We start from the raw sequence: 23,988 nt of genomic DNA on the forward strand, positions 1-23,988 counted from the left end.
CCAGTGTTCTGTTGATGGTGTGATCACCTCCTGGAAACACTGAACTCAGTGAGGGCAAGGTCTGTGTTGTATTTATTCATCTTTGTATCTCCTACACCCAGCACAATGACAGGCACGCTGGAGATGCCCCATAAATGCTTATTGCATACACAGAAAAAAAGCTTAGCTTGCTATGATGGCTTTTCATTTCGTCCTTTGAAGTTTAATCAGAATAAAAGAAAATAACTGCAGACTCTAAACGTTTGTAAAGTTTCTGTAAAACCTTACAACCCAAATGGAAAAAAAAAAAGATCAAAGGGAAATTAGACAGCAATTTGTTTTAAAAAAAATGTAGTGGCATTTTAATTAGAGAATATTCTTCTCATTGAAATGAGAAACTCCCAGGGAAATACTTGATATGTTAGAGTCTCCCTCCTCACATTTTTTTCTCCAGCTATTATGGGACCTGCTGAGCAGGCTTTGTGAAGGAAAGCTCCTAGGATGCTGCACAATGAAGACACTCAGCACTTACACAGCGCTCTGCTCTTGCCACAATTAAGCCTTTCACTTCTCCCGGCCCTGCAGCGGGGGAAACCCGAGTTATTTACTGAATTTGCTGGCTAGAAGGCCCTGAGGATAAATGACTTGTTCGAGCCTAGGCAACTGGACTGTCACAGGCAGAATTCAGAGTTTTGGACCTGTTTCTTATGTCAAGCAGTTTGTTCTGACCTCAGAAGGGAATCCCTTTTTAATAAGCAATGCACATGGACCCCAAAGAGTCCCCAGAAGGTGGTCGTTTGGAGGGGATCACTGGATATCACAAATCGGTAACATTTTTGAAACTCAATATGGGGATGACTGTAGGATTGCCATCTTTTAATCTTGCTAATTAGGAATATGAAGAAAATATATGGCCGGAATTATGCCTTAAAGAAAATAAATGTCTTATACTAAAAAATAAGGAATTGTTTCAGAATAAAGCCCAGGTTTTTTTTATTGAATATATTTAGTTTTATTAAAAACACAGCACATTGTAGTTATTTTTATCGTTTTACAGGAGACCAATGAAAACTGGCAGTTTAGTGTTTGGGAACCACTGTTTTTAACTAAATATGCTAGATCCATATTTTCTGTAGAAACCCCAAAGCCAACCTTCTCTAGCAGAAAAGTGAGTTAAGATTCACCTGCTGGCATTCCACGCCCAGGGCAGTCACCCACTTCCTCTTTCCACAACTGTGGAAGTAGGCGTTACTTGACATTCTGAAAGTACGTCAGAAAGTAATCCTGACAGCACTTTCTGTAATTGGTGTGTTGTTGCTGTGCTTCATGCTCACTAGAGAGAGAAGATGGAAGACTAAGGAAGCCTCGATGCAATCTTTCCTACTGAGTTTTAGGTAGGAGTAGGTGATACAGTTTGTCTGTGTCCCCACACAAATCTCATCTTGAATTGTAACTTCCACAATTCCCAAGTGTTGTGGGAGGGACCTGGTGGGAGGTGGTTGAATCATGGGGACAGGTCTTTCTTGCACTGTTCTCATGATGGTGAATAAGTCTCACAAGATCTGATCATTTTATAAAGAGGAGTTTGCCTGCACAAGCTCTCTCTCTTTGCCTGCTGCCATCCATGTAAGATGTGACTTGCTCCTCCTTGCCTTCTGCCATGATTGTGAGGCCTCCCCAGCCATGTGGAATTGTAAGTCCAAAAAACCCCCTTTTCCTGTATAAATTGTCCAGTCTTGAGTATGTCTTTATCAGCAGTGTGAAAGCAAAGCAAAACTTTTGAGCTGAGGATTTTATCCTTTGGTGTACTATACTCCACAGGGGAAACAGAAAGAGGTTGAGGCTGCAGTGAGCTATGATAGGGTCACTGCCCTCCAGCCTGGGTGACAGAGTGAGACTCTGTCTCTTCAAAAAAAGGTAAAAAAAAAAAATTAAAAATCTCCCTAAACTCTATGTACAAGCTATCCTTCTACCCTCCAATCTGTCCTAGGTGTGGGCCAAACTGACTTTGGGAGAAATTTACAGTTTGAATGATAATAACACTTCCCAAAAACAAAACCACCCTTGTAAAACTAATAAAAGGCCACCAGGTTAAGAGGATGGGCGAGGTCACAAGGTTTGCAACATCCCCAATTACTCGTGTAATTAATGTCACTATTGTAGAACCTAAGACTGGCCTTTTGAGATCTTTTCAGGCTTTTGCATTTCTGATGACTGGATGGCCCCACCTGGACCTGTGACTCAACCAGTTCTGTGGCCCCAACCCAGAAGGGGACTCAGCACATGAGGACCATTTTCCACACCCCTATGATTGCATCCCCCACCAATCAGCAGCACCCTTTCCCTAGGCGCCTGCCCACCAAACTACCTGAAAACCCCCCAACCTTCCAGCTTCTGGAGAGATTGATTCGAGTAATAACTCCAGCCCCTGCTTGGTGTGGCCAGTCTCACCTCAATTAAACTCTTTCTTTATTGCAATGCCATGGTGTCAGTGGATTGATTTTGTCTGTACAGCAGGCAGGAAGAACCTGTGGGGCGATTACATGAAGGAGGACAATTATGGATTTTTCTTTTATGTTTTCTAACTTTTGTTACTGTATTTATATTACTTTTAGAATTTTAAGTAATTTTGTAATGATGAAGAAATGAGAAAAATTGAGGAATTACACCTTACTGATTGAGTTTTCCAAAGATGGTCACAAGGTTGCTCCTGCTGCACGCTCCTCTTCCCATGGGACCTTAACACTCCTCCTTTGAGCTCCTCCCCCAAACCTAGACAGACCCTTGTAACTGCCTCAACTGAACATAGTAGAAGTGATGTTACTGGAAAGGGGTCCTGATCCAGACCCCAAGAAGAGAGGGTTCTTGGACTTCACACAAGAAAGAATTTGGGGCGAGTTCATAGAGGGAAGTGAAAGCAAATTTATTAAGAAAGTAAAGGAGCAAAAGAATGGCTACTTGCAGGAAAAGGATGGGCAATTTCCAGAACTGAGGGTTCCTCTCATTTTTAGACGATATAAGGTAACTTCTTGACATTGCCCTGGCATTTGTAAATGGTCATGGTGCTGGTGGGAGTGCCTTTTAGCATGCAAATGCATTATAATTAATGTATAATGAGCAGTGAGGAGGACCAGAGGTCATTTTCATCACCATCTTGGTTTTGGCAGGTTTTGGCTGGCTTCTTTGCTGCATGCTGTTTTATTAACAAGGTCTTTGTGACTTGTATCTTGTGCTGACCTCCTATCTCATCCTATGACTAAAAATGCCTAACCTCCTGAGAATGCAGCCCAGTGGGTCTCAGCCTTATTTTACCCAGATCCTATTCAAGAGGAAGTCACTCTGGTTCCAAGGCCTCTGGCAGTGACACAATGTAACTTGTGAGGCTAGTGTTCAATACAGTTTATAGGAGCTCACTATTTTGGACTGAGCTCCTGTAGACTCAACAGACCAAACCAAAACAGCATCATTCGTGCCAAAGTTTCATATCACCACACCAATATTTGTCTGACCTCCCCAGGAATCAGGAAAGAGAGAGAAATAATAGCCAAATTCTGAAACAGATCACTTTTGGCCAGCAGGATAAGAAAATCCACTCTGCTTTACAAGGAAAGTAGCTTTGAAATGACCAATCTGCTTTTTGTTCCTTGTTTCCGCCTTCTGTGGCCTTTTTCTCTCTGTAAATACTCACTGCCCATGTTGCAGAGTGGAGTTCTTGGAACCTTTTCTTGTTCTGAGGGTTACTCAATTCTCAAGTCATTCTTTGCTCTAATATACTCTGTTAAATTTATTTTGGGTAAAGTTTTTCTTCTATCATTAGATTGTAAAAATTCTATATACTTCTGCTTGGCACCTTGGGATGTGGCCCTTTGATGTGGCTGCCATATTATGAGGAAGTGCAAAGCAGCTGCCCACATGGAGGGTCCACAGGTAGGTGTTCCGATGGACCGCCCAGGTGAGGACCCAGAATCAAGTGCTGGACACATAAGTGAAGAAATCTCCAGATGATTCCAGCTCCCAGCTGTTGAGTCTTTGAGTCTTTCCAGAGGGGGCCTCAGATGCCATGGAGCAGACACGGCTGTCCCTTCTGTACCAAAGTCAAATTGCTGCTGCATGGAATCCCTCATTCTAAGCATCATTAACTGGCTGTTTTGTACCATTAAGGATTGTGGTTTGTTTCACAGAAGTATATGTATATTATAACTCTCTTTTAGTAAGAGCAAGCAAGCAAAGCAAAAACAAAACCCAACACTCCTGAACATCTGCATATATATTTTTTAATGTAAAAAAGTTATGTTAAAATATACATAAGGTTTAACTTTTTAACCCCTTTTAAGTACACAGATTTAGAGCATTAAGTATGTTCACACTGTTACACAACCATTACCACAGTCTGTCTCTGGAATTTTTTCCAACTTCCCAAACTGCAACTCTATACTCATGAAACAATAACTGTCTAATCCCCTTCCCAGAACTCTTGGTGAGCACCATTTAACTTTCTGTTTCTATAAATTTGACTACTCTAGAAACCTCTTGTAAGTGGAGTCATATGGTGTTTGTCCTCTTGTGACTGGCTTATTTCACTTAGCCTAATATAGGTTCATCCCTGTTGAAGCATGTGTCAGAACTTCCTTCATTTTTAAAGCTGAATAATATTCCACTGTATGTATATACAAACTCCTGGGCTCAAGTGATCCTTCCCCTCAACCTCCCAACATGCAGGGATTATAGGCGTGAGCCCATGCACCCGGCCCCATTTTCTTTATATCTATTCGTCCATCAATGGACACTTGGTTTGCTTCCACCTTTCGGCTACTGTGAATAATGCTGCTATAAATATGGGTATATAAATGGGGTTTGAAGTCTCTTTAGTTCTTTTGGTTATATATCCAGAAGTACAGTTGCTGGATTACATGGTAATTCCGTTTTTAATTTTTTGAAGAACTGTCATACTGTTTCCTATTGTAGTTGCCCCATTTTATATTCCCACCAGCAGTGCCACAAGGCTTCCAATTTCTTCTCGTCATCACCAATAGTTGTTATAATTTTTTTTTTATAAAAGCCATCCTAAAGTATGTGAAGTGATATCTTGGTGTGAGAGCTCATTTTGATTCACATTTTCCTAATAACTAGTGATGTTGATCATGTTCTCATGTGTTTATTGGCCATTTGTATATCTTCTTTGGATAAATGCTTATTCAAGCCCTTTGCCCATTTTTAAATTAAGTTGTTTGGTTTTTGTTTGGAAATATTCCTTTAAATGTATATATAGACAAGGCAGAGGTATAGAAACAACAGGCTGTTACCTCAGAGGTTGTGTGTTGAGGTGGAAGAGGAGCAAACATGATTCCTTTCTGCCTCTTGTGAAATTGTACTGAAGGGCTCCACGTATTACCAGCATGTGTCACTAACTGAATAAAGAAAAACAATTTAAAGAAATTATCAGTAAAAAGTCACCTTGCTTAAGTATCTCAAAATATCTAACTTGAAGTTTTTTTTAATGGTACAGCCAAGAAAATGAAATAATCTTGAGTTGAACCTTCACACAGATTTCATTGGTAAAATTTTAATAATGAGAAGAAAACTTCCCTTCATTGTTCTAGTCACAGATCCTTGGCCTGCCTTTTCCACCTCCTCCCTCCTCCCTTCTGGAAAGAGCTCAGACTAAGAGAAGAGCCTGTCTCTCTTTAAAGAGACTATTTGTTTCCATGGTAACTTGCCTTCTTCATCTTCAGAGCTGTAAACTAGGAAATTCCATTAGAGGCTTATCCGGGCAGTTGCTTTTGAAATGGTGTCTGATATTAGCTGTCTGCTTCATTCACCTTTGCTGCTTAGTAATCTTTTGAATTTGGTGATTTTGTTTCTATCAAATGAAGAGAGTAAAATAAAACAACACGAAGCTGATTATAATCGGTCTTGTTGGGCCAGCTGTGCATTCTTGTTAGGTCCTGTGGTGGGGCTGTCATGGTGTGGCCTCCTAGGTGACTGTGACCTGTGCAGCCTAGGCGCCATGGAGCCCTGCACACAGAGCTGGCCTGATTCAAGATGCACCATTTCATCTGGAGAAGAAATAGGAACCAACTCTGTTGTCAAAAGTGACTTTGATTGTTAGTAGATTTCAAGTTTTATCTGTAGGATTCTGATTTGGGCACATGGAGATGCTAATACTGCTGGCTGTGAAAATATAGCTGCAAATAAAGCAAATAACCAGATTACCTGAGGCTGATGATTTTAATTTTTCTAGTAGTATCTATGATTATAAAGCTGCATTTATTGACCATTGACATAGAAGGTTTGGCGGATTTTTATTGACCAGCATGGTTTACATGCATGAAATCTATATCATTTTTTGTTTCTCCAGATCCATAAAGGACATTTAAACAACAGTTAATAAACATAGAAAATATCTTGAAATCACCTTTTCTATTCAGGAAGTTCAGCTACTTTATTCCTCTTGATAACAACTTCATCTGATTATATTGACAAAAATAACATTACATTTGGTTTTCCTTTTATTTATTTATTTATTTATTTAGACATGGGGTCTCACTCTGTTGTCCAGGCTGGAGTGCAGTGGCATGATCATGGCTTACTGCAGCCTTGAATTCCTCGGCTCAATCGAGCCTCCTTCCTTGGCTTCCCAAAATGTTGGGATTACAGGTATGAGCTACCGCACCTGGCCTGGTTTTCCTTTTTTTAAAAAAGCTAATTGCTGGCCAGGTGTGGTGGCTCATGCCTGTAATCCCAGCACTTTGGGAGGCTGAGGTGGGTGGATCACAAGGTCAGGAGTCCGAGACCAGCCTGGCTAACATGGTGAAACCCTGTCTCTACTAAAGATTAAAAAAATTAGCTGGGCATGGTGTTGCGTGCCTGTAATCCCAGCTACCTGGGAAGCTGAGACAGGACAATCGCTTGAACCCAGGAGGCGGAGGTTGCAGTGAGCCAAAATCACACCACTGCACTCCAGCCTGGGTGAGAGGGTGAGACTCCATCTCAAAAAAACAAAACAAAACAAAAACAAACAAACAAAAAAACACACACACAAAAAGCTAACTGCCGATCAATAGTATACTTCCAACTTTTGAACACATTTCCTAGGTAAAATATTTATATTTAAAAGAATGTTTAGATTGAATGATGAAAAGGTTCTGGAGATGGATGGTGGTGGTGGTTGTACCACAATATGAATGTACGTAATGTTACTGAACCGTACAGTTGAAAGTGGTTGAATGGTAAATTTTCTGTTATGTATATTTTATCACAATAAACATTCAGAATTTTACAACTGGCAAATATGAAAGTATCTGCAATTGCTATGGAAAAGCATGTTAACTGATACACAATTCGATGAGAATCTTAGGCTCTTAGCATCTTATGTAGCTTTCCTTCCTCCTTAAACTTAGACTTCCAAGAAAATTCCAAATTTTGGTTTCCTTCGTCCTTTTCAGTTTTGAAGCAATTTGAATGCATACTTCCTTTTTCCCATGAAAGAGCATAAAAATACTGTATTTCGTAGCCCTTATCTCTGGAGACATTTTTGTATTCCTTTGTTCCAATCATTGCCTTGGAGAAGTTCACTGTCTCATAAGAGGAATCACAAAACAAGAATCATCTCAGAATTGTAGGGATCTCTGTGCAAATTTGTCTAACATCTTACCAAGGCAGATGTCTTAGTCCATTTTGTGCTGTCATGGTAGAATACCTGAGACTGGGCAATTTATAAAGAACAGAGATTTGTGTCTTACAGTTCTGGAGGCTGAGAAGTCTGAGGTTGAGGGGCCCACATTCTGTCCAGTGATGAGTAGCTTGTCTACTCATAGGCTGCCCATTCCACTTTGATCAGGCTCATTTACTAAACATTCACTGAACAGTTTGTCTTGACATTGTGTGAGGTTACTGGAGATACCAAAGGGAGCAAGATGGACGTGGTCTGACTCTCATAAGGCTTACATTAGAATGTTCTTCTATTTTTTTTTATTGAAACTTTGTCTATTTACCTTAGGCTCATTCATTCTAGTTATGACCTCAGAGTCATAAAGAATGCACAGCACTGTGCACTGTGCCAAAAGCCCTATTGCCTTCATTTCTTTTACTCCTCACCAGAATCCTATGAGGCAGGGAACATCACTGTCTCAATTTCACCACTGAAGAAACTAAGACTTAAAAGGGTAGGTATCTTGCCCAATATCATATAGCTAGTATCTGTTCCTCCATTCACATTAATTAATCATTCATTCATTCAACAAACATTGGTTGAGAATCTACTATAAGCTTTGGCAATGTTGAGAAAATTTGATAGCTGCCCTTAAAAACTCACAGCTCAATGGGGGAAGAAGTCAAGCAAACAGGTCTACTGCAGTGTGCTGTGCTGTGTGAGGGAGCTGTGCTCTGCGGCGATAACAGCTAGCAGGTCGGTCTCTCACCTGGTTGAAGAGTCCAGTCAGGCTCCTGATTAGCACAGTGGCCCCTATCGGTCTCTGTTGCACCTCGTCCCTCCAATCCACCCACCACCCTGCATCTGGAGTGATCTGTCTAGACTCACAGTCAAGATCTGTCTAGACTGATCTGTCGCATTCACTCATTTTTCATTCAGCTAACAAATATTTTTGAGTATCTACTTTGTTAGCCCTTGGAGACACAATGGTGAGTAAACCAGACTTGGCTGGGACCTTCACAGAGCTTGCAAGGCAGGTAAGAAACAGAAACAGGGAGATGCATAGAATCATTAAAAAAAGAAAAAAAAAAGTTGGAAGGCATATAGCCACTGTGGAAGACAGTTTGGAGGTTTCTCAAAATGTTAAGCATAGCGTTACTAAATGACCAGCAATTCTACTCTTAGGTATATACTCAGAAGAATTGGAAACAGGTACTCAAACACATATATCTACAACACATGAAGGTTCATAGCAGCACTAGTCACAATAGCCAAAAGGAGGAAAGAATCCAGATGTCCATCAAGGATGAATGCATAAGCAAAATGTGGTCTATTCTTACAATGAATGTTACTGAGTCATAGGAAGGAAGGAAGTACTGATACAGGCTAAACAGAGACGAACTTCAAAAATATTATGCTAAGTGAAATAAGCTAGACACAGAAGGTTACATAAGATAGGATTCCTTTTAAATAAAATATCTAGAACAGGTAAAGCCATAGAGACAGAAAGTAGATTGGTGGTTTCCAGGGGTTGGGGGCAGGAGGAAATAAGGAATGACTGCTTAATGGGTATATGGTTTTATTTTGGTGTGATGAAAACATTCTCGAACTAAATAGAAATGGTAGTTGTACAACAATCTGAGTGTACTAAATGCCACCCTGAATTATGTACTTTAAAATGGTTAATTTTCTGTTATGTGAATTTCATCTCAATTAAAAAAAAATGTATAACAAGGGGCTTAAATTAGATTGGGGATCAAGGATGGTTTTGAGCTGAGACCTAAAGACTGAGCAAGAGCTAGCTAGGAGAAGGATGTAGAGAAGAACATGTCCCTGGCAAGAGGAAGAGGGTATGGGGTGGAACTGAAGGGGAGGCAGGGGCCAGATGTGGTACAGCTTTGTAGGCCATGCAACATGTCCCCAGTCTTACCCCAAATGCCTTGGGAAATACCATGACAGAACAGTCTATCTGTTCTCAAGTTCATTCTTCCTGCTCTGTGGAAATGGCCCGCAGGGGCACAATCACAGCAGCTACAGGGAAGGACAATGGTGACCAAGGCTCCCTGGGGCTGTCAATTTAGTCCATATCCCTACAGGGGACACACAAGGCTCCACGACCTAGTCCCTCCCCAGGTCCCCTGGCTCGTCTCTCCCTCTGCCCACCTCACACTCTCTGCTGTAGCCGTAGAAAGTTCAAGAGGTGAGCTCTTTTTCTTCAGGCCTTGGAACAATCTGCTCCTCCTTGGGAATGTTTCCCCATATTTGCCTGGCCAAGTTTTCTCCAATCTTCAGCATTCTGCTAAGGCATCGCTTTCTTCCAGATGTTGTCCTGGCTCCAGGCTCTAATACTGCCTGACTTTGAAGCACCTTCCAGCACTTTGAGCCTAACTCTATCACAGTGCATATCACAGTGGGTGGCCACAGCTTGCTTTATCCCCCTGAATTTTTTCCATTCAGTAACGAATTCCTTAGGGCAGAAACTCATTTGTTCTGGTGTCACTAGTACATGCGCCTGAGTAAATTAATGAATTCTTTCAAGAGAAATGAATTAGAATGCAAGTGGTGCTCCTCAATTTTCCCTTGAGTTCTTGTTTAACCCCCTCTCTTTTTTTTCCTGAGGATGTTCGTTTCCATCTCCCAGAGATACTGCCCCTTATTGAAGTGCTTGCCTCTTCCCACTTTTCAGAATATCTCCATCCTTATAAAATTTGAATTATGTTTTAGTTCTCCAAACTTTTCAGTGGTGAACAAGCCTCTCACCATTACTTTCCTTTGTAAAGAGAACACATTGGAAAACGTTGAAATGCTTTTTAGTAGAAAATTTTCCCTCATTTTTCGTGATCACATTTCCAGTTCTTTAATCTGAAAACTGTCAGTTTATAACTGATTTCTTAATCAAGATATTATAATTCTAATGAACATCTCATGCTCAGATTATAAGTGCTGGCCAATGTTTTTACTCTTTTGGGGAAAAAAAATTCAGAAAAAAAATTCATTTCAATGTTTTTCAGGACCTTTACATTTTCTCAAAACATTCACCTATTATCTCCCCTGGAGTGGTGTTCAGACCTCAGCATAATGTTGAGTCCAGAGCTAAACTGCCCACATTGATCCCACCTCTGCCACTCACTAGCTAAGTAACATTAGGCAAACTGTTTCACCTCCCCATGGCTTTGTGTGGTAGGGAGCAAACATAGTATTTTGCTCACCCATCAGGTGCACAGCTGAGACGCCTATAACAAAAGATAGATTAACAAGAGAAAAGGCCAGGAACGGTGGCTCAAGCCTGTAATTCCAGCACTTTGGGAGGCTGAGGCGGTCGGATTGCTTGAGCTCAGGAGTTGCAGACCAGCCTGGGCAATGTGGTGAAACCCCAGCCCTACAAAAAATACAAAAAATTAGCCAAGTGTGGTGGCACACGCCTGTGGTCCCAGCTGCTAGAGAGGCTGAGGTGGGAGGATCGCTTGAGCCCAGGAGGTCAAGGCTGCAGCGAGCTGAGATTGCGCCACTGCACTCCAGCCCGGGCAACAGAGTGAGACCCAGTCTAAAAACAAATGAACATAAACAATAGAAAAGCATACAAACTTGTTTAATATAAGTTTTATGTGGCAAGGGAGCTTTCAGAAATGAAGACTTCAAGAAACAGGGAAATATGGGTGTAGTAGTCTTCCCTAATCCATGGTTTCAGTCACCCGAGGTCAACCATGGCCTGAAGGTATTAAGTGGAAAATTTCTGGAATCAGAAATAAGCAATTCATGTTTTAAACTCTGCACTCTTCTGAGTTTCACCTAGGATGTGAAACATCCCTTTGTCCAATGTATTCACCTCATCACAAGGAGAAGGTGAGTATATTAAAATGTTTTGAGAGACTACCTTCCCATAACTTTTATTAGTTATATTTTTCTTATTCTTCTATATTATTATCAGTTATTGCTGTTAATCTCTTACTGTGCCTAATTTATACATTTAACTTGTCATAGGTATGTATGTACAGAAAAAACCCCAGTGTATATACAGTTCAGTATTATCCATGGTTTCAAGCATCCACTAGGGATGTTGGAATGTATCTCCATGAGTAAGAGGGGGCTCTGTATTTTTATGGATAGTTGTACGGAAGTATGTCTGGAGGACAAAAGGCTACGGTCTAATGGTAATAGACTGCGGGAGTGGGGGGTGGAATTTAGCAAGGCCTGTTTGTTCAGTCTTCTCTTGTCTTCTTTCCTTTCTTCCGGGTATAGGGAGGGCCCTTCTGAAATGAGAGTTTTACGACCGATTTTCAGGGGAAGGTCAGTGAGGTTTAATGGCCCATTTCAGGGGAAAGAGGGTGAGGGAAGATCAGAGCGTGACCTTCTGTTTTTACGGTTTTCTCAATTTCCTTCAAGTCTAAAATATATAGTATGACAAGATGACGTATTCTGGGGTAGCGTGTTCTGAACTCCGTCAGTATCCTCATTTGTAAACTGGGGATAATAATGTTACCTAACTCAGAAAGATCTTGTGATCACGAAGTTCATACTTGTAATACACTCAGAACAGTGGCTGGTAATTGCATCAGCAAGAAATCCCATCTGAGGAAGGGGAAACAACAGGAGCTGTGCAGCTGCGGCTGCTGGGACCTCCTGTCTGCACAACCCCACCTACTCCTTTGTCTGCTGAGTGAAGACAGGTCAGTCGACCTCGGGCCCAGGAAGACTGCTGCTGTCAGGGGAGCACACTCCAGTCACCCACAGGAGCAAAACACATCCTTCTGGAGCCACAATAGCCTTGGGAACCTTGGTCCGGTTATCATAGCCATGATGTTGGTCGAACAGATAAAAATATTCTCTTGAATCCCTAGCCTGTTTGAAAAAAATCACCACCTATCAAAAGAAAGGAAAAAAGAACATTCCCTGACATTATAGCTTAAACTTAATTTTCATATCAATTAAGCCTTTAATTGATATAAAAGAATCTGGGACAGTATTAGGAATAATTAGGAATGGAAAGTATTTTTTGGGGGGATGATTTTTTTTTCTTCAAGCAAAACCTACATGATAGAGACATTTTTTATTCTATCCACTTTTGGATTAACCTTCAGTTTATTGAGCAATTATACTCTGCTCACCTGAAAAAGTAGAAGTAGTTATAACTTAAATATAATGGGTAATAGAATGAGGGATTTAATCAGACTAGAAGCCATGTAAGTGATAAAGTCATTTGGCCTAGATGCCATCTGCTGGGTACTACGATGTTACTCAGGGGGCAAGACATGGAGCCAGGCACCTCTCTGGGGTTAAACAAGGGTTGGGGAAGGAAAGGTCAGCAAACTCAGCTGAAGGTCAGGATAGAAGTTTATCCAGGCAGGAGGACTCTAGTGTCCAGAGAGCAAGGTGCTCAGTAGAAGGTAATGGTGTGATCATTCAGGCAAGCAGCTGACCTTGGAAAGGTCCACCAGAGGGTGACAGAGTCTCATGAGCTGCTGGATGGGACATCTGGGAACAGACCATATTTGTCCAGACAAGCATGGAATTGCCCAGCCCAAGAAGGATGGGTGAGCTGCTAAGAGGGTCCTTACCAATAGAATGGGGTGTATAAAATTCCAGATTCCATGAGGGGCATTGGTGGGTTTAGGGCCAGCAAGGGCAAGATCAAGGCAGGACTCCAACCTTAAAGGGAAGTAGTCATCCTATGAGGGTACAAGCTCAGAGTCAGAGGAGCAGTACAGAGAAGCTGATGGTAAGTCCCTGCATGGCCCACATCCCCCATCTGTGGATAGGACTGAGCCAAGCACATGAACAATCACGGCAGGGACATGGTGGTATAGGAAGGGCTCTCCTTGACTCCTGGCATCAGTTAGGCATACTTTCAGCTACTAGTGGCTGAAAACCTGAGTTGCTGTAGCTTACCGCAAAGGGACATTTATTGCTTCCTTAAGAAGTTAGATGTGTGATCTCAGGATTGCTGGTGCAGCTCATCGAGGTCATTCCCATTCTCCACTCCTTCAGCCGCATTTGGGCTCTTTGTCACCTTCATACATGATAGTTGCAGACATTAGGTCCTCACAGCACATCCTAAAAAGGAAGGACAGGTGGGAGCAAGAGCTTGCTTCCTCCCAAGCCTCTGCCTGATTGTTTGGAAAAAGAAGGCTCCATCAGAAGCCTCCCAGCAGCCTGCCCCACAAGTACTCATTGGCCAAATGTGGGTCACTCAGCTACTCTGATTTGCAACAGGAGCCGGAAGTGCAAATCTTGTGTTTCTAGCCTCTACAGAGTGAGGTAGGCAAGGGGTAAGGGTGAGAGAGATGGTGGTAGCCAATAATCTTTCTTCTCCTTTTCCCTTTAATTTGAGCAGCACTCTAGATTCTCCTTCCTGTTTCCTTGTCAGAAGTACATAGAATTGCTTTGGATACTTTAGGGAAATAATGGTGTTGATTTTCTTATAGGTTTACAGCTCATTCCTCCCTCTGAGATTGACCAACCATGATTCTTCATGGCCAGATGTTGGAGCATATGAGACCTGCCACCACACCTTGTGGCCCACGGCAGCACAAGACAGCATTCCTCTACACTCTCTGTTGTGGAAAATGGCCAAGTCCTCATAGTCCAAAGAGAGTCGATTTCAGGCCACTGAGTTCTTCACTTGTACCTTCTCCCTCCTGTCATCCCAATCCATGTCCTTGTACAGAAAAAGCCCAAGGATTTTTTTTTAAAGGCAAGTATATAACAATAAGGCAAGAATTTCCTTAACTGGTAATAGGATGGACATTTAAATGCTGAAAAGACCAGTCCCTGAAGCCTAAAATGGTACCAAAAACAGCTGAGCAAGAAGGCAGGGATTGCAGAACTTGGGTGCATCTTGGGGGAAAGAAATAAAGGGGCCACAGGGCAGCTGGTGTAGAATAAAGATACTTTCAGACATATAATGAATTTAAAAATTTACCTCACTTGTGCCCTTTCTGATGAAGCCACTGGGCAAAATCAGTGAATGAAGGAGTAAGCCATGAAAAAGAAAGACATGAAATCCAGGAAATAGGGATCCATCCCAGGAAAACAGCAAAAGGAAGTCACAAGATGATAGCTCAGCACCGGCCTAGAGAGAGTTTGTATTGGAGATGGAGGAATTGCATGGGGCAGCTGCAGAAAGATGTCTTTGCAGGAGAAATGGATCTGAGAGGTCTGGTGTTTGAGCAGTCTGGTGTTGAAAAATTATTGATAGGTGTGGGTGACACATGCGTTGAAGCACTTATTTAAAAAGGTGATAAATCTATAGGCAAATGAAAAAGGTACTAGGAGAAAACAAATAATTTTAAGAGAAAGGCAATATAATTATTTTCTTATTCCATTCAGGCTTTTACAAAAAAATACCATAGATCAGGTGGCTTATAAATAACAGAAATTTATTTCACACAGTTCTGGCAGACTTGGCTTCTGGTGAGGACATGCTTCCTGGTTCATAGTTGCCATCTTCTCACTGTGTCCTCACATGGTACAAGGGTGAGGGAGTTCTCCAGGGTCTCTTTTTTATAAGGGAACCAATCCCATTCACCAGGGCTCCACATTCATAAACTAATCAACCTCCCAAAGGTCCTGCCTTCAAATGGCATCACCTTGGGGATTGAGATTTCAATATATAAATATTGGGGGGACAGAAACATTCAGACCATTGCAATCACAGTAATACATTACTTGAATCAGCAGTAAACATAATTTATATAGTCATAAGCTCGATATTATAAAATAATAATGCAATATTTACTGTGATCGACTCTAACATTGTGATCCAGTTCTATAGGGATAAAAGGGTAGAGGAGATGGCAGAGGTGTGCGTTAACCAGCTAAATCCTCCATTACTATCGTGTTAGTCAAAAATTTGGTGTGCAAAAGTGATACATCAGGAAATAGCAGTATAAGCATGTTATTTACAAATATGGGGTAAATAGAAGAAATGGTTTGAGAAATGGTTTAGTCAAAATATTGGTGTGCAAAATTGATAAATGAGGAAACAGCAGTATAAGCATGTTATTTACACATATGGGTAAACAGAAGAAATGGTTTCAGAGCAGGAGGTTGGACAGCAGCTGCTCATTTTGTAAAAAAAATTGATTAAAAAACTATGTGCATGAATTATCTTAAAAATTAAAATTCATCATTAAAAGACATTTAAAAAGTAAGGCAAATTGTTAGTTTACTAAGTTGTATTCTGCTTCTTGGTTTGAGGCTTCTCCAAACCTGTGGCCAGGCCACCATGCATGTGCCATAAAATCATGACCCTTAATGAGCTGACCCAGCAGGCAGAGGTGGAAGAACTTGTCAGCATTTCTGGGCTTGTTTTGCCCTTGTGTTAAACAGAGCCAAGTTCTGAGGAGTTTTAATTAAGCTCACATTGGGAATGAAGGTGGAGCGGGGGGACTGGGAGAAAAGATGGAAACCCCATTCCTTGTTACAGCATGCCTTGTCATGCATTATTGCTTACGTGGCAATGATCCGCCCTACTCGGCTATCACAGGGGAAATTACCATATGGAAATACGAAACTCGGGATTACAAAAGGTCCTTGAATGTTCAAAGTGATTAGTGTTCAACTTAATCTTCAGGGATTAGTATTTATGCCACGTTAATAACTGAAGGGATATTCTGTAAATGACTCATTTAGTCGTAGCGTACATTTATGGTTTTACATAAATAATCCTACAATTTATGGTGGTTACAGCATTAAGTTCAATTTTTACTTATGTTTAGAAGCAGCTGTTTTTCTCAGTGTCCCTCAGGTTTATACGACAAGACTTACAATGGGTCATATGTTGTATCTGGGAATGCTACCCTGCCATTTTATCCGAGAGACTTGCCAGTGAGCTGGTATTGCCAACACATCCCTTTACAGAGTAGCAGTAACTTGGCACAAGGACTCTTCCTGCTGTCCTAGAGATCTTCCACTGGGAACCTGACCCTTACCTTTGTTCCCAGGATATTTACTGATTCTTAAATCAAGGTAATGTTTTCAAGATGACTGTGAAGAATTTATGTTAATACTGTTGTAAATGTGAGAAGATTTAGAATCTTTTCTAAAAGGAGGAATAAACAAATTCACATTAATTCTATTTTTCTCCCAACTTTTTTTTTTTTTTTTTTTTGAGAAGGCGTCTTGCTCTGTCGCCCAGGCTGGAGTGCAGTGGCATGCGTGATCTCCGCTCACTGCAAGCTCTGCCTCCCGGGTTCATGCCATTCTCCCGCCTCAGCCTCCCACGTAGCTGGGACTACAGGTGCCCGCCACCATGCCTGGCTAATTTTTTGTATTTTTTTAGTAGAGACAGGGTTTCACTGTGTTAGCCAGGATGGTCTCGATCTCCTGACCTCGTGATCTGCCCACCTCGGCCTCCCAAAGTGCTGGGATTACAGGCGTGAGCCACCATGCCTGGCCTCTCCCACCATTTGATACATTTTTATCATTAACACCTGAAGTATGTGTAACAGAGGAAATGAATTATCCCTAGTGGAGAATGGAGATGATAACATTAACAATACTGAAAGATTACAGGCATTTGGAATTGGATCTGGGCTGTTCCTCTGCGTATACATATGTAAATCACATTTACATATATGTGTGTGTATATGTGTATATAGACACATAAAAGGATCACTAAAAATGTTATTCATAAAAGCAATTAAAGGGAGCATATCCACATGTTCTCAAAATCAGCTTAAAAGAGGGACAGTCTTGTGAGATGAAAGGTCACATTTTAGTGGTTAATAAAATGCCCCACTCCTAACTGCCAGCAGTATAAGAGAATTTGGAACAAAGGTGGTAAAGGAGATCTTTTAAGTAATAAATATTTAATTAGTGGTCCCATTTGGCTTTTTGAAAGTATAAAATAATGACCGGGCATGGTGGCTCAAGCCTGTAATCCCAGCTCTTTGGGTGGCCAAGGTGGAGGATTACTTGAGCCCAGAAGTTTGAGATCAGCCTGGGCAACATAGGGAAACTCTGTTTTTACAAAAAATTGAAAAATTAGCTGGGTGTGGTGGCATGTGCCTGTAGTCCCAGCTATGTGGGAGGCTGAGGTGGAAGGATCACTTGAGTCCAGGAGGCTGAGGCTGCAGTGAGCCGTGATTATACCACTGCACTCCAGCCTGGGCAAGAGGGAGCCCTTGTCTCAAAAAACAAAACAAAACAAAACAAAAAATAAAAGGAAAAAAGTACAAAATAAGACATTTTTTCTCTCAAATAATCAAAGAATTGTCTCTGAGTTGGGGCAAACTTGGCTGTTTCATTTTGATGAACCTGCCTCTTGCTTATCCACGGAACAGTCTGCTACAACAGCCTGCTTGAATACTTTGCATTTCGGACCAACCACCTCCACATTTGTCATTATGACAGGTTGTTATTTACGGGGAATGGCAGGTTGTTGAAATCCTAAATGAAGCACTAAGGAATGAAGCTCTAAGGACCAATTATAGCAACAATGCTTAAACATTTCAGGCAGCAAAATTGGCTCAGCTACAAGCTTGTTTAGGCAAGAAAAAAATGCATATTTCCTATATTTTTGATTTATAGACCAACCCAAAGAGTGTGTGATTTCTGTTGATTTTAACATAAAGTCACCTAAATTAGGAGTATGCAGTTTTAACTGCAATAGTTGGCATGGCTAATATGGGAAAAAGTAGATTAACCCGATGCCTCCCAAATGTGCAAATATGCTAAGCCATGTTTAAAACTAAGGTAACTCTCTAGGGTAATTTTTCTGGTCTGCTGTGATGTCCCCAAGTGGCTGGCAAGTGTCATCTATTGGCAAGGCCTGAACAAGAGCACAGCAGGAAACTTTCCCCTTATCTGTTTGAATGAATGACTAAGCAAAGTTTAAAGGCCATTTCACTCTGCTCTTAAAGGTATGTGAGCATGAAGATGACATGCTCCTTTGGTTCCCAGTTTCAGTGTCTGATCAGTTAGGCATAAAGGTGCTTTTGTCTACACAGGTTTCATGTGTGTGTTCTGTTGATGAGTCTGTTGACAACTCCATAAACTAAGTGTCTCCAAGGCAGGCAGAGATTGAGATTTGTTTCTCAGAGATTAATGAATGTGCCTCCATTTCTTTCCCTCAAAAGAGACAATACCACTTCCTGTAGCTTTCCTTGCGTGCTTCAGATTGAAAACCTTATTGGGCTGCAGAAAGATTTATGATTCACGTATATGTCGGTGGCTATTACTGTAGAATAATCTGGAAAACTGCTAGTCACAATTTGTTCCCTCTCAATGGTTACCGACTGATTCATTATGCTGGGCTCTTGTGTCTTCTCTCCTTCCTTCACATCTCTCCTCAAAATGTTAGATTCTTTGCCACACTATTTACAGACTGTGGTAAATATAGCAGGTTGATATCAGGGTCACTTGTATTATATATGCTATAATGCCTACACCATGTATTTTTATGTCAAGTGATTAAGAAATGTATAAGAAAAATGGTAATAAGCTCTCCATCACCATCCACCCTTCCTGGGATAAACACTGTTAAGAGTATCCTTCTCTCTTGTTTTCTGTATTCATATGCATGTCATATTATAATTTTTTGTCTTGCTTAACAGTTTTTTTTGACCTAAATAGTATATTTGCTCTTCAATGTCCTATTTTCATGTAGCAATAGGTCACAGACATCCATCTAGATCTCTGTATATAGATTGAATGCATTCCTTTAAAAAACATTAATTTACCATAATTGATTCAATCTTTCCCCTACTGATAGACATTTTTCTTGTTGAGGTTATTTTTTTAATAAAAAATTTGGGGGCCATTATACACAGTGTTTCAAATAACTTCTTGGTATCTATGTCTTTACATACAGATATTCTTAAGGCTATAGATTTTTCAAAGTAGGAATGTTGTGTCCAAGGGTATATTTTTACTTTTAATCGAGGCTTGTTTTGTTATATTTAATACTTTCTAAGTAATAAATACAACAAAATAATATAATTATATATAATATAATAATAGATATTATATAACATATTACATTATCTATTATATATCTACTATCATATATAATATATAATAAATGTAACAAAATTAATAATATATTAATACTTTCTAAGTAAAAACTATAACAAAACAAGTCCAAGATCTCTACACTAAAAACTACAAAACATTGCTGAGGGAAATTAGAAAAGATCTAACTAAATGGAGAAAATTCCTATGTTCATAGATTGGAAAATTCAACATTGTTAAGATGTCAATTTTCCCCAACTTGGGTCTATACATTTAAGGCAATCCCAATCAAAATCCCAATAGACATTTTTTTTTTGGTAAAAATTAACAAGCTGATATTAAAATTTTTGCAGAAATTGCTAAATAATTTTTTAAAAAGAACAAAATTGGAGAACTTACATTACTGATTTCAAGAGGTGCTATAAAGCTACAACACGAAAAAGCTACAACAATGGAGAAAAATAGTGAATTCACCAACAGACTCATATACACATGGTCAACTGATTTCAACAAAAGAAATAAGACAATTCAATGAGGAAAAGAAAGTCAATCAATAGTGCTGGAATACAACTGCATATCTGTATGGAAAAAAAATGAACATTGATTCTTACCTTAAACCAAATATAATAAATACTCAAAACGGATCACAGACCAAAATGTAAAAGCTCAACTATTAGGTTGGTGCAACAGCAATTGTGGTTTTTGCCATTAAAAGTAATTACTGTTGCACCAACCTAATAAGTAACTTCTAGAAGGAACAGAAGGAAAAATCTTTGTGAGGGGTAGGCAAAGATTTTTTAAAACAGAACACAGGAAGCTTAAAATAAAAAATTAATAAATTGGACTTCATAAAAATTAAACCTTTTTCTCTTTGAAAAATATCAGTAAGAAAATAGAAAGGCAAACAGAAAAGAAAATATTCACAGCACAGATATCAGACAACAAACTGTAACAAGAATATACCAAAGTCTTACACCTCAATATGAAGAAAGGAAACAACACAATTTTTTTAAATGGGCAAAATATTTTAAGACACTTCACCAAAGAAATTATATGAAAGAAAAGCCCAATAAACACATGCCAAGGGGCTAAAAGTAGTCATCAGGGAAATGCAAACTAAAACCACAATAAGGTCCCACCACACACCTATTAGAATGGTTAAAATGAAAAAGACTGACTATACCATGTGTGGGCAAGGATATGGAGCAAACGGAACTCTCATACACTGCTGCTGGGAATATAAAATTACATAGTACTTTGGAAAGGTATGGAAGTTTCTTGAAAAGTTAAACATATACCTATCATAAAACTCAGCTATTCTAAGTATTTACCCAAAAGAAATGAACACACATGTCTACATAACAACTTGTACACAAACATTAATATCAACTCTATTTTTGTAGGAGTGCCAAACTGGAAATAACTCAACATATCCATCAATAGGTGACTAGATAAACAAAATTTGTTACATCGATACAATGGAATCCTGCTTTTAAAAAGGAAGAAACTATTAATATATGTTAATAACTTGGGTGAATATCAAATCATGCTGAGTGAAAAAGTCAGCCAAAAAGAGACTAAATCTTGTAAGATGAAATTCTATAAAATGCAAAATAATTACAGTTATAGAAAGCAGACCAGTAGTTGCTTGGGGATGAGGGTGGAGGAGAGATGGATTATCAAACGGAACAAGGAATCTTTTGGGATTGGGGAAACTCTCACATTCTTGATTGTGGTCATTTCACAGGAGAATACATTTTGTCAAAACCTATCAAATTGTACACTTTAAATGTACAGTTTGCATATAAATTATACCTCAACCTTTGAGCATTTATTTCTTAAGAACTTTAAAATCATTTTGTCCAGTTCAAAATAAACCCAATCTCAACTCCATTGGATTTCCAATTGAAATTACTTTAAACAAATCCATAATCTATATGCACGTATATCTACACCAAATATTTAATATTGTCTTATCATTTAGGAAAATGTTAAATTCAGGTCTTGTTTTACATTATTTTCGAAGCCTTTTTACTTTTCTTCAGCCCTTTCTATTTCCTGATAAATGTTTTTCTTCATATTTTATAATTTTACTGCTCTTGCCACTAAGTTTTTAAAAATATCATTTTTTACTTCCGATTATTATAAAGAAAAACTACTGATTTTGATATATATCAGATAGTCACTTTATCAAATTCTTATTAATTCTAACAGTATTTAAGCAGAGTCTCATGAACTATACAATTTTATATCCTGCAAACAAAAAAATTAATTTCCATCATTTACACTACTAACTATTCTCATTTTTGAGGGCTTTTTTCATCGAGCTGAAACTTTTAAAAAATGTTAGATGATGATAGAAAGTGAATCTCTGCTTTGTTTCAGGCCCTAGTTATTTCACGTTTAATTAAAAAATGATAGTAGTCATTTTCACTAATTAATATGCTGTTGGTTTTGTTGAGTGTTCTTTATCAAGTTTGGGAAATTTCATTTTAATCCTGTTTTATTTGTGAATATTATCAAATGTCATTTGGTCATCTATTGATATAACTGTGTAGTTTCTCTAAATTGTTTAATTAATATGTCACATAATTGATTACATAATTCACCACATTGCTTACATAATTGTTTACATAATTAACGTTACATAATGAATACATAATGAATGAAAATGTTGCATTTGTATTATAAACCCTGCTTCTTGGTGTGTCAATCTTTTAATATTTTAAGGGATTCAATATGGACAGATTTCACCAATTGAACTATATCATGCCTTTTAATGGCTACATAGTATTACATGGTGTAGCTCTATTATAACTTATTTAACCCTGATTAATGAGTATTTGTCTTTTTCTCTTTACTCAATGCTGTGATAAACCTAATTATAGTGTATCTCTAAAATTAGGTTTGTGCCAAAGTAATTGCGATTTTTGCCATTAAAAGTAACGACAGAAACCACAATTACTTTGGCATTAACTTAATAATTTAGAGTTTTACATTTACTCTGTATCCCACATTTTCTTTATCCATTCATCTGCTGATGAGCACTCAGGCTGATTCCATATTTTGGCTATTTGAAGAGTGCTGCAATAAACATGTGAGTGCAGATCTCTCTCCAATATATTGATGTCTTTTCTTTTGTGTATATACCCAGCAGTGGAATTGCTGGGTCACATGGTAGCTTTATTTTCAGTTTTTTAAGGAACATCCGTACAGTTTTCCATAGTGGCTGTACTAATTTGCATTTCTATCTAAAATGCACATGGGTTCCTCATTTTCTATATCCTCACCAAACTGTTCCCTTTTTGATAAAAGCCATTTTTACTGGGGTGAGATGATATTACCCTGTGGCTTTGATTTGCATTTCTCTGATGATTAGTGAGGTTGAGCATTGTTTAATATACCCATTTGTCACCTGTGTGTCTTTGAGAAATGTATATTCAGATCTTTTGCCCATTTTAAAATTGTATTGTTTTTTCCTATTGAGTTGTTTGAGCTCCTTGTGTACTCTGGTTACTAATCCCTTATTAGAGGAATAGTTTGCAAACATTTTCTCCCATTCTGTAGGTTGTATCTTTATTGTTTCATTTGTTGTGCAGAAGCTTTTTAGCTTGATGTAACCCCACTTACAAGATCACCCCAGTGGCATGATCTTGGCTCACTACAACCTCCATCTCCTGCACTAAGTGACCTTCCTATCAAAGCCTCCCAGGTAGCTGGGACTACAGGTGCATGCCACCATGCCCAACTAACTTTTTTGTATTTTAATAATTTTTTTTTTTTTTTTTTTTTGTATTTTAAGTAGAGACAGGGTTTGGCCATGTTGCCAAGGCTGGTCTTGAACTCCTGGGGTCAAGCGATCCATCCGCCGCAGCCTCCCACAGTGCTGGGATTACAGGCATGAGCCAACGTGCCTGGACTTTGTCCTTGACTTTTGAGAGTTTGATTCTTATATACCTTGGGGTAGTCTTATTTGGGTTGAACCTGTTTGGTGTTCTCTGACCTTCCCGTATCTGCCTATTTATCTCTTACTCAAGTTTTAGAAAGGTTTCTGTTATTATTTCTTTGAATAAGCTTTCTACCCCTCGCTCTTGCTCAACTCCCTCTTGAACACCAATAATTCTTAGATTTGGTCTTTTGAGGTAATTTTCTATATCTGGTATGTTACCTTCATTCTTTTACATTCTTTTTTCTCCTCTATTTTCAAACAGGCTATCTTTGCGCTCACTGAATTCCTTTTTCAGCTTGATCTATGTTGCTGTTGAAAGCCTCTAGTGAATTTTTTAATTCAGCAAATATTTCTCAATTCCAAGATGTTTTTTATTATTTCAATCTCTGTTAAATTTCTCTGATAAATTTCTGAATTGATTTTCTGTGTTATCTTGAGAATCACTGAGTTTCCTTAT

At 39.2% G+C, this 23,988-nt stretch overlaps 1 long non-coding RNA gene across 1 annotated transcript, besides 4 other annotated features; it reads right to left on the reverse strand.

The window, feature by feature from the left end:
* Positions 1-9,192: 9,192 nt before the first annotated feature.
* Positions 9,193-16,724, reverse strand: LOC124901362 (uncharacterized). The gene is made up of 2 exons (XR_007059678.1): positions 13,517-16,724; positions 9,193-12,490 (listed from the first exon to the last, which is right to left on the reverse strand). It is a non-coding gene; the product is annotated as an uncharacterized LOC124901362 (long non-coding RNA).
* Positions 9,796-10,455: an enhancer, noted in NCBI's record as "OCT4-NANOG-H3K27ac hESC enhancer chr6:91204071-91204730 (GRCh37/hg19 assembly coordinates)". NCBI's record gives its function as "activates a minimal SCP1, AML or CMV promoter by ChIP-STARR-seq in naive and primed H9 embryonic stem cells {active_cell/tissue: H9 hESC(naive and primed)}" and the evidence as "EXISTENCE:reporter gene assay evidence [ECO:0000049][PMID:30033119]".
* Positions 10,483-11,039: an enhancer, noted in NCBI's record as "OCT4-NANOG-H3K27ac-H3K4me1 hESC enhancer chr6:91204758-91205314 (GRCh37/hg19 assembly coordinates)". NCBI's record gives its function as "activates a minimal SCP1, AML or CMV promoter by ChIP-STARR-seq in primed H9 embryonic stem cells {active_cell/tissue: H9 hESC(primed)}" and the evidence as "EXISTENCE:reporter gene assay evidence [ECO:0000049][PMID:30033119]".
* Positions 11,040-11,596: an enhancer, noted in NCBI's record as "OCT4-NANOG-H3K27ac-H3K4me1 hESC enhancer chr6:91205315-91205871 (GRCh37/hg19 assembly coordinates)". NCBI's record gives its function as "activates a minimal SCP1, AML or CMV promoter by ChIP-STARR-seq in primed H9 embryonic stem cells {active_cell/tissue: H9 hESC(primed)}" and the evidence as "EXISTENCE:reporter gene assay evidence [ECO:0000049][PMID:30033119]".
* Positions 12,074-12,368: an enhancer, noted in NCBI's record as "tiled region #8521; K562 Activating non-DNase unmatched - State 23:Low". NCBI's record gives its function as "activates a minimal TATA promoter and a strong SV40 promoter by Sharpr-MPRA in K562 cells {active_cell/tissue: K562}" and the evidence as "EXISTENCE:reporter gene assay evidence [ECO:0000049][PMID:27701403]".
* Positions 16,725-23,988: the final 7,264 nt, after the last annotated feature.

Source organism: Homo sapiens, chromosome 6 (assembly GCF_000001405.40).
Source record: "Homo sapiens chromosome 6, GRCh38.p14 Primary Assembly".
Taxonomy (NCBI): Eukaryota; Metazoa; Chordata; class Mammalia; order Primates; family Hominidae; genus Homo; species Homo sapiens.